Below are 16800 nucleotides of genomic sequence, written 5' to 3'. Positions count from 1 at the left end.
ATCATAATGTGTGCAGGCCAAGGGAGAAATGGACAGAAGACTTCCACATGGGGACCATGCTCATCTCTGGGAGGCAACATTGGTGATGATGTATGTTTTCCATTTTCATTCTCTTCTGTGGTTTCCTTCTTGTACCACAAGAAGGTGATATGAGCATCAATTACTGTTTTGATGGAAAGTAAAAAGCATCGTAGGTCACCTCATGCAGGTGTGCCCAGGTGTGAGTTCCTTTCGCGTTGAGAACTCCACTGTACCTGGCTTTGGTTAAGATCCTTCACCACCTTGGTCTCAGTCTCCTCAATTGTACTATGGAGATTGGGGATTACCTCTGACAGGTGATGTGTGAGGGTTAAGTGAGATGACAGTGGTTGAGTTTGTGAGTGCACATTGACTCTGCAGGCTCAGTGCCACTGCATCAGATTATAATGGCAGATTTCTTAGCCCTGCACCAGGTGCCCAGTAAACATGTAGCGATGGTCAGTTTATATTAGTAGAGTTAAATTTTCTCCACCAAGTGCAAATTTAGTTTCCTCTTCTGTGCCTTTTGTGACAGTGAGCTCACTTATCTTACTTTCCAGATGCAGCAGAAATGCCTACATTCTGTCCAGCTCCATTCTGCATCCTGACATGTCTACCCCACCCCACTTTAAGGAGAAAACCAGCTCAGTAAGGTGAAGTAACCTTCCCGGGGTCACACAGCAAGCAACAGTTCAAATGTTCTGGGCTCATTCAACTGAGTAAAGGAGGCCTCTTCAGAGCCTACTGTGTGCTGAGCTGGGCCTGTGAACCTTATTTCTTCTTCAAAACTGCTCTGCAACAGGTGGCTGTGTCCTCACTGAATAAGTGAGGAAGCTGCCTTGCAGAGGTGGAAATCCAGAGTACCTAGTCAGCATCAGTGTGGTTTCCCCCACCTAAGCCTGCATAATTATCACAGTAGCTACCTTTCTGGTATCAGTCTCCCTGCTTCTGCCCAAGGCCCCTGCAGTCTTTTCTGAGCTCAGTGGTAAGCCAGAGTGATTTGTTTAAACCAAGATCTTAGCCCTGTGAGAATTTGAGTAATGAAAACCATGCTGGTCTAGGAAGAAAAGAGCATCAAGATCTGATCTGGGCCTTCCCTTTCCTTCTAACTTTCTCATCTCCTCCACTCCCTCCCAGTTGATGTCTGCCTTGGCCAATGGCACTGTGGCCCCAGCACCGCCTTACCCATCTTTAGAAGCTTTTCCGTGGGCGGGCTTCTCATATCCAGTGAATCTTTTGTGACCCTGTCCCTCCTGCATCACCAAACCCCAGATCCCCTATTATGCCTCCTCACTTCCTCTCCTTCTCTCCTGTAATTGCTTCTCCCTCTAGTCTCAGTATTAACCCAGGGCGACCTAGAGGTCTGGAGGTGTAGGTGCGAAGTGACCCTGGGATGAACACACACAGATTCATGAGACTCTGCAATTCCTAAAGGGTAGATAGTGGGACCTCATATCACCAACGTGAGGACTTTCCCACAGGACAGGTGACTTAATGAGTAGCAAATGTGACCAAGAGGTACAATTTTACCAGGCAGACAGTGAAGGGGCAGAAGAGAGGAGGGCTGGAATAACCTTTTCTGTTTTCTGTCTGATCCATTTATCTCTGTCCTAACAGAAGGCCTGCAGGAGAGGCAGTGACTTGTTTAAGGTCACAGCACCTTGGAGGAGGCAAAGCCAGGACCACAGAGAGGGCTTGGGGAGGCCTTGGGGCACTGTTGACGATTCCTAAGGCTGGCTTATCCCTGCCTTCTCCTGGGATCGTGGGACTATCCCGTGGATCCCCCAGAGAAGAGGAGCAAGAGTCCAACGCCGACACGTGTCCACAAAGGTCCCCTGGTCCACCAAGAGGGAGAAACTTGTCACCAGGCAACGGTGGCATACACTGACACGCGAGCCAAGGCTCACCGCTCGCGACAGGTGTCCCGCGACTGGCGCATGCGAATCCGCGAGGCAGGTGCTGGGGCCAGGCTGTCAGGGCTGTCAGGGCTGTCAGCCTGCCTGAGCAGAGGAAAATGGGAAGGCAGAGCCGGCCTAGTCTAGGGAAAATGCTGCCTGCGACAATCACTGTGGAAGCCTAAAAGTAACTACCATAGGGCATCCTCGGGCCGTCTCATTAGTCGGGTCCCGCTGGAGGAAAAGGCGATTCGAGAATGTGAGGTGGGCGCTGGGAACTTCTCTTTGGACTCCATTCCCGAAAGAGTCTGTGTGCAAGAATCCGGTCCCAGGGAGAAGGGAATACAGTCTGGTGAGTTGTTGAGGGATCTCCGGGTGATGGAATCATACCTGAGACCCCAGAGGAGGGTGTCAGTGGAAGACTGTGAGGCCTTTGAGCTCACTGCCTCCGTTCATCCAGGGCCCCCCAGGGAGTCCTGCTTCTCAGCGCGGCTGTCTGGGTAAGGCAGGAACGACAATAAAGGCAAGTCCAAGACGGAGAAGAGGTCTCACACCTGGAACTGGCATCCAACAAGGACACATAAGGTTGAGAGAGAGTTTCAGAAACCGTCTGGGGTGATTGCAAGACTGAAACGGGTGCCCAGGAGTGCTGTTGAGGGGCACTGTGGATCCCCCATGAAAGCAAAGGGAAATAAAGGCTCAAATGGGAGAATGAGAGGGTTTGTGCTGGAGTCAAACCCATGTTCATGGATTCTTGCCAGAAACCCAAGAGACTCCTGTAAAGTGCAAAAAATCCGGCCCCCCAAAATGAGACGACTACCCACAACCTGGAGTGCAGCCAAACTACTGAAAAACCCTTGAGATCCCTAAAATCCCTGGCAAGCAAAAGATCTGTGGTGAGAGGCACTCACATACAGCAACAGCCCAAAGACCAACGAAATCCACAATGAGAAAAGACGTGCAGATGAAATGAAAAAGAGCCTAGAATATTAGGCAAAAGCCAGACTTGGCAGCCTAGGTCCCATCATATAGGAATCATGCTGCAATCCTATAGAAGTGGGAGAACAAGAGTTTCGTTGTTGGCGGATGTAACAGGAATTTACTGTTCCAAAAGTATCACAGCTGCCTAGTCCGCAAAACGTGACAGTGTTTAGACGGAAACACTCATACAATGGTCCCCATGAGGGTCGTCCTCTGTGAACAAGGAAAGGTTTACTGTAGAAGCCTTTGAGCCAGACCAAGGAAACTCTAGGCCCACGAGAAAAATGGAAGTCAGGAAAAGAGGAGGCCGGGGTGCAGGACACATCACGCCCAGCCTCAGTCCATTCAAACTTCATGTGGCTCCGGGAATGACAGCCGAAATTGGGAGATGGCCAGAATGGTCAGGGTTTGCTCCAACTATTCCCCGGCACGTTGGAGTCCTCCCACCTGGGCACCGGGCCATGGTGTGGACGGCTTGTGCGACGAAGTGAATGCGGGGGTGAAGTGGGAAGCACCTTCTGTATCATCTGTCCGCACCTGTTTAGCAGATGAAGGTGCGGGACCCCATCCACACCTCACCAGATTGCATCCTTACCCCTATCTGACCTACTTGCTGCTCACACTATCCATTACCGGAATGAAATCCCGAGACGATGGAGGAGTGCCCGCCTCACGACGTGAAGCGCCTGCTCGGCTGGGAACCGAATTCGAGGTGGATTCAAGGAGCCCTGCGCACAGGACTGCTAGGGTCTGGCCCTGGGTTGGCCACCGGAAAAGGAGGCGCTCGGAGGTTTCTCTTCTTGGGTGTGGTGTGCTCCTCTTCTTTCTAGACCAGTTGCTGCTTGGTGAGGGGGGGGTGGTGATTTGGGCTCCTGCGCGTCTCAGCCAGCCCCCCAATTCACCGCGGATTCAGGAACCACGGAAAAAATACAGGACGCGGAGCCCCGCAGCCCAAGCAGAGCCGCACAGAGGCGTACCAGAAGGTCGGGCCACTCGGAAAAAAAAGAAAAAGCGCTGCAGTGCTTGAGCCATATTCCTTTCAGCGGACGCCGCCTTCACGCACACAGACACACACAGAAACACACACACGCGCACACACAGACAGCCGCATACACACTCGGGCAGCCAACACTCGCAACACTCCCGCAGAAACACACAGCCCGGCAGCTTCTGAGGCAGCGCGGTTCTGCTCCGCCGGGAAGCCCCTCCCGGGAGAGGGCAGCCCCGGGGAACACAGGCCTGCTGTAGTCAGAAATCACAGGGGGGCAACGTTTAAGGAGACTCACCCCACTCCGTCTAGGCAGGCCTGACGCCTCCTGCGGATCCTTTTGGATTCTTAGGGATTTCGCGGTGTATCCCTGGGCCTTCCCTTGACGTTTCCTCAGGCTGGCTCGCCCCTGCCCTGTCCTAGATCGTGGGAGTATCCCGAGGATCCCCCCAGAGAAGACAGGCGAGAGCCCAACGCCGACGCCCCCTCTCCGCTAAGCCGCAGGGACTAGTCGCCAGGCAACGAAGGCGTTCACTGTGAAGCAAGCCAGTGCTCGCCGCTGGCGCCTTGTGCCCCGCCACTGGCACATGCGCATTCGTGAGGCTGCCTCGGGCGCCAGGCTGTCGGGGCTGTCAGCCCGCCTAAGCAAGGACAATGGTGCAGGCAGAGACGGCCTGGTCAGGAAAAGGGCTGCCTGCGACTACCATTGCGGGACTATAAAAGTCTCGACCACAGGGCCTCCTGGGGCGTCTCCGTGGTCGGCTCCCCCTGGAGGAGGAGGCGATTGGAGACCGTGAGGTGGGCGCTGAAAGCTGCTCTTGGGACTCCCTTCCCGAAAAAGGCTGTGTGCAGGAATCGGGTCCCAGGGGGTTGGGAATGCAGTCTGGTGAGTTGTTGAGGGGTCTCCGGGTGATGGATTCATACCTGCGACCCCAGAGGAGGGTGTCAGCGGAAGATTGCGGGGCCCTTGAGCTCACGGCCTCCCTTCATCCCGGGCCGTTTAGGGGCTCCCCCTTCTCAGCACCCACGGGCAATCTGGGAGAAGCAGGAACCACGACAAAGGAAAGGACACGGTGGAGAAGAGGTCTCACCCCTGGAACTGGCATCCCACGGGGGCACGTGAGGATCAGAGAGTGTCTCAGAGTCCGTCTACAGCGATTGCAAGACTGAAATGGGTGTCCACGAGTGCTGCTGAGGGGCACTGTGGATCCCCCGTGAAAGCACAAGAAAATCAAGACTCGCCTGGCAGAACTAGAGGGTTTGGGCTGGAGTCCAAGTCAAGCTCACGGATCCTTGCCAGAGGACCCAAGAGCCTCCCGCAGAGTTCAAACAACCCCAGCCCCCACAAAGAGACCACGACCCATGACCTGGAGTGAAGTCAGCCTACTCCAAGTCCCTTGTGCCCCCTGAAGTCCCTGGCAGCCAAGATCTGGGGTGAGAGGAAGTCCCACCCAGCAACAGCCCCCCCACAAGGACAGTGGATGTGCAGATGAAATGAAACAGAGCCTAGATTACCCGGCAAAAGCCAGACACTGTTGCCTGCTTCTCATCCTACAGGAATCATGCAGCCCTCTGATAGAAGTGGGAAAACCAGAGCTTCCTTGTTGGCGGATGTAACGGGAATTTACCCTTCCAAAAGTATCACAGCAGCCTAGTGCTTAAACCGTGACAGTGTTTAGAAGGAAACACTCATTCAATTGTCCCCATGAGGGTCGTCCTCCGTGGACAGGGAATCGTTTCCTGTGGAAGCCTTTGAGCCAGACCCAGGAAACCCTAGGCCCACGAGAAACATGGAAGTCAGGAAAAGAGGAGGCTGGTGTGCCGGCCACATCCCACCCAGCCTCAGTCCATCCCACTCCCCTGTGGCTCCCGGAATGACTGCGGAAATCGGGAGCTGGCCAGAATGGCCTGGGTTTGCACTCCAACTGTTCCCTGGCAGGTTGGAATCCTCCCAGCTGGGCACTGGGCTATGGTTTGGACGGCCTGTGGACGAAGGGAATGCGGGGGTGGATTTGGAAGCACCTTCTGTATCATCTGTCCGCACCTGTTTAGCAGATGAAGGTGCGGGACCCCATCCACACCTCACCAGATTGCATCCTCACCCCATCTGACCTAACTGCAGCTCACACTCTCCGTCCCCGGAATGAAATCCCGAGACGATGGAGGAGTGCCCGCCTCACGACGTGAAGTGCCTGCTCGATTGAGAACCAAAATCGAGGCGGATTCAAGGAGTCCTGGGCACAGGACTGCTGGGGTCTGGCCCTGGGTTGGCCACAGGAAAAGGAGGCACTCGGGGGTTTCTGTTCTTGGGTGTAGTGTGCTCCTCTGCTTTCTAGAAGAGTTGCTGCTTTGCATGGGGATATAATTTGGGGCCCGTCGCATCTCAGCTAGCCCGCCAATTTATAGCGGATTCAGTAACCACAGAAAAAGTAAAGGACACGGAGCCCCGCAGCCCAAGCCCTTTCGCACAGAGAGGCTTCCAGAAGGTGGGGCGACTCGAAAAAAAAAGGGCTGCAGTGCTTCAGCCATATTCCTTTCAGTTGACGCCACATACAGGCACACAGACACACACACACACAGCCGCCATCACACGCGGGCAGCCAACACTCCCAACACTCCCGCAGAAACACCCAGCCCGGCAGTTTCTGAGGCAGCGCGGTTCTGCTTCGCCAGGAAGCCCCTCCTGGGGAGGGCAGCCCCAGGGAATACAAGAGTGCTGTAGTCAGAAATCATAGAAGTGCAACTTTCAAGGAGACTCACCCCCACTCCGTCTAGGCATGCCTGAAGCATCCTGCCGATCTTTTTGGATTCTTAGGGATTTCGCGATGTATCCCTTGGCCTTACCTTGACATTTCCTCAGAATGGTCTGCCTCTATTGTATCCTGGATCGTGGGAGTATCCCATGGATCCCCAGAGAAGACAACCGGAAGTCCAACTTCGACGCACGTCACAGAGGACCCCCTCTTTGCCAAGAGTCAGAGACTTGTCGAGATGCAACGAAGGCATTCACTGTGACTCGAGCCCGCGCTCACTACTTGCTCCTGGTGCCCCGCCACTGGTGCATGCATGAGGCAGTTTCGGTCACCAGGCTGTCAGGGTTTTCAGCCTACCTAAGCAAGGAAAATGGTGCAGGCAGAGCCTGCCTGGTCTCAGGAAATAGGCTGCCTGCAACAAGTACTGCGGGCCCCCAACGTTGCTCACCGTAGGGCTTCCTTAGTTTGTCTCCGTGGCCCTGTCCCGCTGGAGGAGGACAGGCTTTGAGACTGTGAGTTGGGCCATGGAAACTGCGTTTCTGATTCCATTCCCGAAAAAGGCTGTGTGTAGGAATCGGGTCCCATTGGGCTGGAGATACAGTCTTGTGAGTTTTTGAGGGGTCTCTTTGAGATGGAATTTTAGTTAAAATTCTGGATGATGGTGCTAGCGGAAGATTCCTGTGTCCTTAAGCTCACTGTCTTCCTTCATCCTGGGCCTCACAGGGGCTCCTGCTTCTCAGCACGGTCGTCTGGGAAAGGCAGGAACCACGACAAAGGCTAGTCCAAGGTGGAGCAGAGGTCTGACACCTGGAGTTGGCATCCCACCGGGGCAGGTGAGGTTGAGAAAGTGTCTCAGAGGCTGTCTAAGGGCGATTTCAAGCCTGAAAAACATGTCCAGTAGTGCTGTTGAGGGGCACTGTGGACCCTCCATAAAAGCAAAGGAAAATCAAGTATTGCTTGGGAGAACCAGAGGGCCCGTGTTAGAGTCCAACCCACTTTGAGGGATTCCTGCTAGTGCACCCAGGAGCTTCCTGCAAAATGCAAACCACCCCAGTCCCCACAACGAGATCACTACCCACAATCTGGCCTGCAGCCAGCTGAACTGCAGTCTCTTTTGACTCTGAAATCCCTGGCAGCCAACTACATCCACGGTGAGAGGAAGTACCACCCAGCAACAACCCAATGAAAGACCCTCTCCACAATGAGGAAGGATGTGCAGATGAAATGAAACACAGCCTAGATTACCAGGCAAAAGGCAGACATGGCTGCCTGCTTCTTATACTATAGGAATCATGTAGCCCTTTGATGGAATAGAGAAAACAAGAGTTTCCATGTTGGTGGAAATAACTGGAATCCACCGTTCCAACAGTATCGCAGCTGCCCAGTCATTAAAACGTGACAGTGCTCAGAAGGAATGAGTCATGCAATGGATTTCAATGAAGGCCATCCTCTGTGACCTGGAAATGTTTACTGTGGAAGATTTTGAGCCAGACCATGGAAACCCTAGGCCCAGGAGAAGCATAGAAGTCAGGAAAAGGGAAGTCCAGAGTGGAAGTTAAAGTTCAGGAAACATCAGTCATCCATCCCACTGCCATGTGGCTCCGGGAATGAAAGTCCAAAGGAAGAGCCGGCCAGAGAGGCCACAGTTTGGGCTCCAGTGGTTCCCCAAATGTTGGATTCCTCCTTGCTTGGAATCCGGCTACGGTGTGCAAAGCTTCTGCAATGAAGGGAATGCAGGACTAGAGTTGGAAGCACCTTCTGTGACATTTGTCTGCACCTCTCCTGAAGGGGAAGGTTCGGGATCCCAACCACACCTCACCAGATTGTATTCTCACCCGTATCGGACCTCTCCGACCAGAATGAAATACCAAGACGATGGAGGAGTGCTCGCCTCCCCACCTGAAGCTCCTGCTCTGCTGGCAACGGATTTCGAAGTGAATTCAATAGGCCCTGCGGACAGGACTCCTATGCTTTGGCCCAGGGTTGTCCTTAGGACAATGGGGCCTTGGGAGGTGTTCCTTCTTGGGTGTAGTGTGCTCCTCTTATTTCTAGAAGAGTGGCTCCATTGCAGGGAAAGGTGATTTGAACCCCTGGTGTCTCAGCCAGTCCCCCCACTTCACCACAGTTTCAGGAAACACGGGAAAAACAAACACGCCGCCCCGCAGCCCAAGCGGAACCACACAGAGAGGCGCACCAAAGGTCAGCCGACTCAAAAGAACAAGCGTTCCAGTGCGTGAGCCACGTGAGCCACATCCTTTCAGCAGACGCCGCTTAAACGCACCCACAGAAACACACACACACCCACACCGACACACACACACACACGCAGACATCCAACACTCGCAACACTCCCACAGAAACACACAGCCCAGCAACTTCTGAGGTTGGGAGGTTCTGCTCTACTAGAAAGCCCCTCCGGGGAGAGAACAGCCCCGGAGAACACAAGCAGGCTGTACCTAGAAATCACAGGGGGGCAAGTTTCAAGGAGACTCACACCCACACCGTCTAGGCAGGCCTGAAGCATCCTGCGGATCCTTAGGAATTTTGCGCTGTATCCCTTGGGCTCCGCTTGAGGTTTCTTCAGGCTGGGTCGCCCCAGCACACTTCTAGGATCGCGGGACTATCCCATGGATCCTTCAGAGAAGACAGGCGAGAGTCCAACGGCGATGCACGTCCACAGAGGTCCCCTTCTCCGCCATGACGCAGGGACCCGTCGCCAGGCAACAGTGGCGTTCACTGTGAGGCGAGACGCAGCTCAGGGCTCGCGCCTGGAGCCCCGCTACTGGCGCATGCGCATTCGCGAGGCGCACTCGGGCGACAGGTTGTCAGGGCTGTCAGCCTGTCTAAGCAGAGGAAAACGGAGCAGGCAGAGCCGGCCTGATCTCGGAATAAAGGCTGCATGCGACAAACACTGAGGGACCCTAAAAGTCTCGACCATAGGGCCTCTTCTGGCCATCTCCGTGGTCGTGTCCCGCTGGAGGAGGAGGCGATTAGAGACTGTGAGGTGGGTACTGGAAACTCCTCTTCTGATTCCGTTGCCAAAAGAGGCTGTGTGCAGGAGTTGGGTCCCATGGGGCTGGGAATACAGTCTTGTGAGTTGTTGAGGGGTCTCTGGGAGATAGAATCCTAGTTAAAACTACAGAGGATGGTGTCAGTGGAAGATTGCAGGACCCTTGAGCTCACTGCCTCCCTTCATCGTGGGCCTCCTAGGGGCTCCTGTTTCTCAGCACGGCTCTCTGGGAAAGGCAGAACCATGTCAAAGGCAAGTCCAAGGTGGAGCAGAGGTCTCACGCCTGGAACTGGCATCCCACGGGGGCAGATGAGGTTGAGAGAGTGTCTCAGAAGCTGTCTGGGGGCGATTGCAAGCCTGGAAAAGGTGTCCAGGAGTGCTGCTGAGAAGCACTGTGGACCCTCATGAAAGCAAAGAAAAATCAAGGCTTGCCTGGGAGTACGAGAGAACCCGTGCTGGGGTCCAACCCACACTGAGGGATTCCTGCCAGTGGATCGAAGAGCCTCCTGCAAAATGCAAACCACCTCAGTCCTCACAACTAAATCACTACCCACAACCGGGCCTGCAGCCAGCCAAACTGCAGTCCCTTTTCATCCCTGAAATCTCTGGAAGCCAGGAAGATCCGTGGCAAGAGGAAGCACCACCCAGTGAAATGAAAGACCCTCTCCACAATGACAAAGGATGTTCAGATGAAATGAAACACAACCTCGATTACCGGGCAAAAGCCAGACATGGCTGGCTACTTCTCATCCTATAGGAATCGTGCAGCCCTCCGATGGAATAGGGAGAACAAGCGTTTTTTGTTGTTGGTGGTGGAAATAACGGGAATCCATGGTTCCAAAAGTATCACAGCTGCGCAGTCCTTAAAACGTGACAGTGTTTAGAAGGAAACATTCATGCAATGGATATCCATGACGGTCATCCTCCGTGAACTGGGAAACGTTTACTGTGGAAGACTTTGAGCCAGATCATGGAAACCCCAGGCCCACGAGAAGCATGGAAGTCAGGAAAAGATTAAGGCCAGAGTGGAAGCTAAAGCCCACGCAGCATCAATCATCCATCCCACTGCCATGTGGCTCCAGGAATGTAAGTCCAAAGGGAGAGTGGGCCAGAAAGGCCACAGTTTGTGCTGCAATGGTTTCCCGAATGTTGGCTTCCTCCTTCCTCTGAAGCGGGCTATGGTGTGCAAAGCTTGTGCAATGAAGGGAACGCGAGGATGGAGTTGGAAGCACCTTCTGTGACATCTGTCTGCACCTCTCCTGAAGGGGAAGTTTCCGGACCCTATCCACACCTCATCAGGTCAGCCCTGCCTCACCAGATTTTATCCTCAGCCATATCCGACTTTATTGCTGCTCACACTCTCTGACCCGGAATGAAATCCCAAGACAATGGTGGAGTGCCGGCCTCATGACCTGAAGCTCCTTCTCTTTTGGTAATCGAATTCGAAGTGGACTCAAGGGGCCCTGCGGACAGGACTCCTATGCTTTGGCCCAGGTTTGGCCTCAGATAAATGAGGCCCTGGGAGGTGTCTGTTCTTGAGTGTGGTGTGCTCCTCTTATTTTCTAGAAGAGTGGCTCCGTTGCAGGGAAAGGTGATTTGGATTCCTGCGTATCTCACTCACCCAGCCCCGCTCTTCACCGCGGTTTTAGGAACCGCGGAGAAAACAAAAAACAGGCAGCCTCACAGCCCAAGCGGCGCCACACAGAGGCGCACAAAAGGTCGACCGACTCGAAAGAACAAGCGTTCCAGTGCGTGAGCTACATCCTTTCAGCAGGTGCCACTTACACGCACACACAGAAACACACACGCAGACATCTAACACTCGCAACACTCCCACAGAAACACACAGTTCAGCAACTTCTGAGGCCGCACGGTTCTGCTCTGCCAGAAAGCCCCTCCGGGGAGACAGCAGCCCTGGGGAACACAGGCAGGCTGTACCTAGAAATCACAGTGGGGCAAATTTCAAGGAGACTCACCCCCACACCGTCTAGGCAGGCCTGAAGCATCCTGCGGATCCTTTGGGATCCTCAGGAATTTCGGGCTGTATCCCTGGGGCTCCGCTTGACGTTTCTTCAGGCTGGATCGGCCATGCCCACATCTAGGATCGCGGGTCTATCCCATGGATCCCTCAGAGAAGACAGGCTACAGTCCAATGGTGACTCACCTCCACAGAGGTCTCCTGTTCCGCCAAGCCTCAGGTACCCGTCGCCAGGCAACCATGGCGTTCACTGTGACGCGGGAGACGTCTCACCGCTCTCGTCTGGTGCCCCGCGACAGGCTCATGCGCATTCGCGAGGCAGGCTGGGGCACCTGGCTGTCAGGGCTGTCAACCTGCCTAAGCAGAGGAAAATGGTGCAGGCAGAGCCAGCCTGGTCTCGGGAAAAAGGCTGCCTGCAACAACCACTGAGGGACACTAAAAGTCTTGACCATAGGGCCTCCTCGGGCTGTCTCCATGGTCGGTCCCACTGGAGGAAGAGGCACTTCCAGACTGTGAGGTGGGCGCTGGAAACTGCTCTTCTGATTCCATTCCTGAAAGAGGCATTGTGCTGGAATCGGGTCCCGTGGGGCTGGGGATACAGTCTGGTTAGTTATTGAGGGGTCTCTGGGTGATGTAGTCCTAGGTAAAATGCCTGAGGGGGGTGTCAGTGGGAAACTGCCAGGCCCTTGAGGTCACTGTCTCCCTACATCCTGGGCCTCTCAGTGGCTCCTGCTTCTCAGCATGGCTCTCTGAGAAAGGCAGGAACCATGTCAAAGGCAAGTCCAAGGTGGAGCAGAGGTCTCACACCTGAAACTGGAAAACCATGGGGGCAGATGAGGTTTAGAGGCCGTCTGGGGATTACTGCAAGCCTGAAAAGGGTGTCCTGGAGTGCTGTTGAGGGGCGCTGTGGATCCCCCATGAAAGCAAAGAAAAATCAAGTCTCACCTGGGAGCACAATCGTCCTGTGCTGGAATCCAAGCCACGTTGAAGGATTGCTGCCAGCGGACCAAAGAGCCTCCTGCCAAGTGCAAACCACCTCAGCCCCCACAATGAGATCACTACCCACAACCTGGCCTGCAGCCAGCCGAAAAGCAGTCTTTTTTGATCACTGAAATCCTGGCAGCCAAGAAGATCCGTGGCGACAGGAAGTCCCACTCAGCCACGGCCCAATGAAAGACCCTTTTCTCAATGAAAAAGGACGTGCAGGTGAAATGAAACACAGCCTAGATTACCAGGCAAAATCCAGAAATGGCTGGCTACTTCTCATCCTATAGGAATCATGCAGAACTCCAATGGAATAGAGAGAACAAGTTTCCTTGTTAGAGGAAATAACGGGAATCCATGTTTCCAAAAGTATCACAGCTGCCCAGTCATTAAAATGTGACAGTGTTTGGAAGAAAACACTCATGCAATGGACCCCCATGAGGGTTGTCCTCTGTGAACTGGGAAACATTTACTGTGGAAGACCTTGAGCAAGACCTAGGAAACCCTCGGCCCATGAGGAGCATGAAGTCAGGAAAAGAGAAGGCCAGAGGTGAAGCCAATGCCCAGGCAACATCAATCATCCATCCCACTGCCATGTGGCTCCAGGAATGAAAGTCCAAGGGGGGAGCCGGCCAGAAAGGCCACAGTTTGTGCTCCAACAGTTCACTGCACGTTGGAGTCCTCCTTTTTCTGAAGCAGGAGATGATGTGGACAGCTTCTACAATGAAGGGAATGCGGGGATGGAGCTGGAAGCACCTTCTATAACATCTGTCTGCATTTCTCCTGAAGGTGAAAGTTCGGGATCTCATCCAGTCAGATACACCAGATTGTATCCTCACCTGTGTCCGTCCTTATTGCTGCTCACACTCTCCGACCCAGAATGAAATCCCAAGACGATGGAGGAGTGCGTGCCTCACCACCTTGAAGCTCCTTCTCTGCTGGGAACAGAATTCAAAGTGGATTCAAGGGGCCCTGCGGACAGGACTCCTTTGATTTGGCCTAGTGTTGGCCTCAGGAAAAGGATGTCCTGGGAGGTGTCTGTTCTTGTGAGTGGTTTGCTCCTCTGATTTCTAGAAGAGAAGTTCCTTTGAGGAAAATTTGATTTGAACTCCTGTGGGTGTCAGCCAGCCCCCCACTTCACCGTGGTTTCAGGAACCACGAGGAAAACGAAAAACACGCAGCCCCGCCACCCAAGCGGAGCCACAAAGAGAGGCGTACCAGAAGGTCAGCCCACTCAAACAAGCGCACCAGTGGGTGAGAAGCATCCTTTCACCAGACCCCAATTACACACACACTCAGAAACACACACACACACTCACACGCAGACATCCAACACTCGCAACAGTCCCAAAGAAACACACAGTCCAGCAGCTGCTGAGGCTGCGCGGTTCTGTTCCACCAAAAAGACCCTCCCGGGAGAGAGCAGCCCCGGGGAACACAGGCAGGCTGTACCTAGAAATCACAGAAGGGAAACTTTCAAAGAGACTCACCCCCACACCGTCTAGGCAGGCCTGAAGCAACCTGTGCATCCTTTGAAATCCTTAGTGATTTCGTGCTGCATCCCCGGGGCTCCGCTTGACGTTTCTTCAGGCTGGGTCGGCACTGACCACTTCTAGGAACGCGGGACTATCCGGTGGATTCCCCAGTGAAGACAGGTGTGAGTCCAACACCGACGCATGTTCACAGAGGTCTCCTGCTCCGCCAAGCCGCAGGGACTCGTCACCAGGCAAAGGTGGCCTTCACTGTGATGCGAGCCAGGGCTCCCCGCTTCCGCCAGGTGTCCTGCGACTGGAGCATGGGCATTCGCGAGGTAGGCTGGGGCACCTGGCTGTCAGGGCTGTCAGCCTGCCTAAGCAGAGGAAAATGGTACAAGCAGAGCCGGCCTGGTCTCGGGGAAAAGGCTGCCTATGACAAACACCGAGGGACCCTTAAAGTCTTGACCGTACAGCCTCTTTGGGGCGTCTCGGTGGTCGACCCTGCTGGAGTAGGAGGCGCTTTGAGACTGTGAGGTGGGCGCTGGAAACTGCTCTTCTGATTCAATTCCCGAAAGAGGCTGTGTGCAGGAGTTGGGTCCCATGGGGCTGGGGATGCAGTCTGGTGAGTGGTTGAGAGGTCTCTGAAAGATGAAATTTTAGCTAAAACGCCAGAGGAGGGTGTCAGCAGAAAATTGCCAGGCCCTTAAGCTCACTGCCTCCCTTCATCCTGGGCCTCCCAGGGACCCCTGCCTCTCTGCACGGCTGTCTGGAAAGGGCAGGAACCACATCCAAGGCAAGTCCAAGGTGGAGCAGAGGTCTCAGGCCTGGAACTGGCACCCCACGGGGGTAAATGAGGTTGAGAGAGTGTCTCAGAAGCCGTCTGGGGGCGATTGCAAGCCTGATAAGTGTATCCAGGAGTGCTGATGAGGGGCACTGTGGACCGTCCATGAAAGCAAATGAAAATCAAGGCTCACCTGGGAGCACCGGAGGGCCCATGCTGGAGTCCAACCCACGTTGAGAGATTGCTGCCTGTGGAACCAAGAGCCTCCTGCAAAGTGCAAACCAACCCAGCCCCCACAACTAGATCACTACCCACAACCTGGCCTGCAGCCAGCGGAACTGCAGTCCCTTTTGATCCCTGAAAACCATGGCTGCCAAGAAGATCCCTGAGAAGAGGAAGGCCCACCCAGCAACAGCCCATTGAAAGACCCTGTCCACAATGTAAAAGGACATGCAGATGAAATAAAACAGAGCCTCCATTACCAAGTAAATGCCAGACATGGCTGGCTACTTCTCATCCTATAGGAATCATGCAGCCCTCCAATGGAATAGGGAGAGCAGAAGTTTCCTTGTTGGCAGATATAACGGGAATCCACGGTTCCAAAACTATCACAGCTGCTCAGTCCTTAAAACCTGACAGTGTTTAGAAGGAAATATTCATGCAATGCATCCCCATAAGGGTCGTCCTCTGTGAAGTGGGAAATATTTACTGTGGAAGACTTTGAGCCAGACCCAGGAAACTGTAGGCCCATGAGGAGCATGGAAGTCAGGAAAAGAGAAGGCCAGAGTGGAATCAAAAGCCCAGGTAGCATCAGTCGTTCACCCTACTGCTATGTGGCTCCGGGAGTGAAGGTCCAAGGGAGGAGCTGGCCAGAAAGGCCACAGTTTGGGCTCCAGCGGTTCCTGGCACTTTGGGGTCCTCCTTATTCCGAACCGGGCTATGTTGTGGACAGGTTGTGCAATGAAGAGAATGTGGAGATGGAGTTGGAAACAGCTCCTATGCCATCTGTCTGCTTCTCTTCTGAAGGTGAAGGTTCAGGACCCCATCCATACCTCACCAGACTATATCCTCACCCGTATTATTGAGGCTCACACTCTCCCACCCGAAATGAAATATCAAGACGATGGAGGAGCGCCCGCCTTAAGACCTGAAGCTCTTTCTCTACTGGGAACCGAATTCGATTGGATTCAAGGAGCCCTGCAAACAGGACTCCTATGGTCTGGCCCAGGGTTGGCCTCAGGACAATGAGTACCTGGGAAGTGTCTTTTCTCAGGTGTGGTATGCTTCTCTTATTTCTAGAAGAGTGGCTCCTTTGCAGGGAAAAGTGATTTGTACCCCTGCGGGTCTCAGTCAGCTCCCCACTTCACCACGGTTTCAGGAACCACGGGGAAAAGAAGAAACACGAAGCCCCACAGCCAAAGCGGAGGCACACAGAGAGGCGCACAAGAAGATTGACCGACTCGAAAGAACAAGCGCTCCAGTGCGCAAGCCAGATCCTTTAACCAACCCCACTTCCAGGCACACACAGAAACACACACACAGACATACACACACAGACATCAAACACTTGCAACACTCCCACAGAAATACACAACCCAGCACATTCTGAGGCAACCCGGTTCTGCTCCACCAGGAAGTCCCTCCGGGGAGAGAGCAGCCCCGGGAAACACAGGCAGGGTTTACCTAGAAATCACCGGGGGGCAACTATCAAATAGACTCACCCCCACACCGCCTAGGCATGCCTGACACATCCTGCGGGTCCCCTGGGATCCTTAGGGATTTCGATCTGCAGCCCTGGGAGTCCGCTTGAGGTTTCTTCACCCTGGGTCGGCCCTGCCCAATTCTAGGATCAGGGGACTATCCCGTGGATCTCTCAGAGAAGACGGGTGAGAGTCCAGCGGCGATGCACGTCCACAGAAGTCTACTGGTTTGCCAAG

At 54.1% G+C, this 16800-nt stretch overlaps 1 protein-coding gene across 28 annotated transcripts in view; it reads right to left on the bottom strand.

Moving 5' to 3' along the window:
• ZNF273 (zinc finger protein 273) overlaps positions 1-9363 on the bottom strand; it is a 59714-nt gene extending 50351 nt beyond the window's left edge. For 16 of the 28 annotated variants that reach the window (NR_169742.1, NR_169745.1, NR_169746.1 and 13 more), the window contains exon 1: positions 4181-4453. The gene's annotated coding sequence lies outside the window, so the exon portion shown is untranslated. Of the gene's footprint in view, positions 1-4180; positions 4454-6726; positions 7517-9091 lie in introns of those variants that run through there. The other 12 variants (XM_047419803.1, XM_047419809.1, XM_047419812.1 and 9 more) reach the window with 4 other exon arrangements.
• Between the last annotated feature and the right edge of the window lie 7437 nt (positions 9364-16800).

This window comes from Homo sapiens, chromosome 7 (genome assembly GCF_000001405.40).
Source record: "Homo sapiens chromosome 7, GRCh38.p14 Primary Assembly".
Classification (NCBI taxonomy): domain Eukaryota; kingdom Metazoa; phylum Chordata; class Mammalia; order Primates; family Hominidae; genus Homo; species Homo sapiens.
The sequence above is the reverse complement of the archived record's forward strand: the minus strand, read 5'-3'. Positions and strand labels throughout refer to the sequence as shown.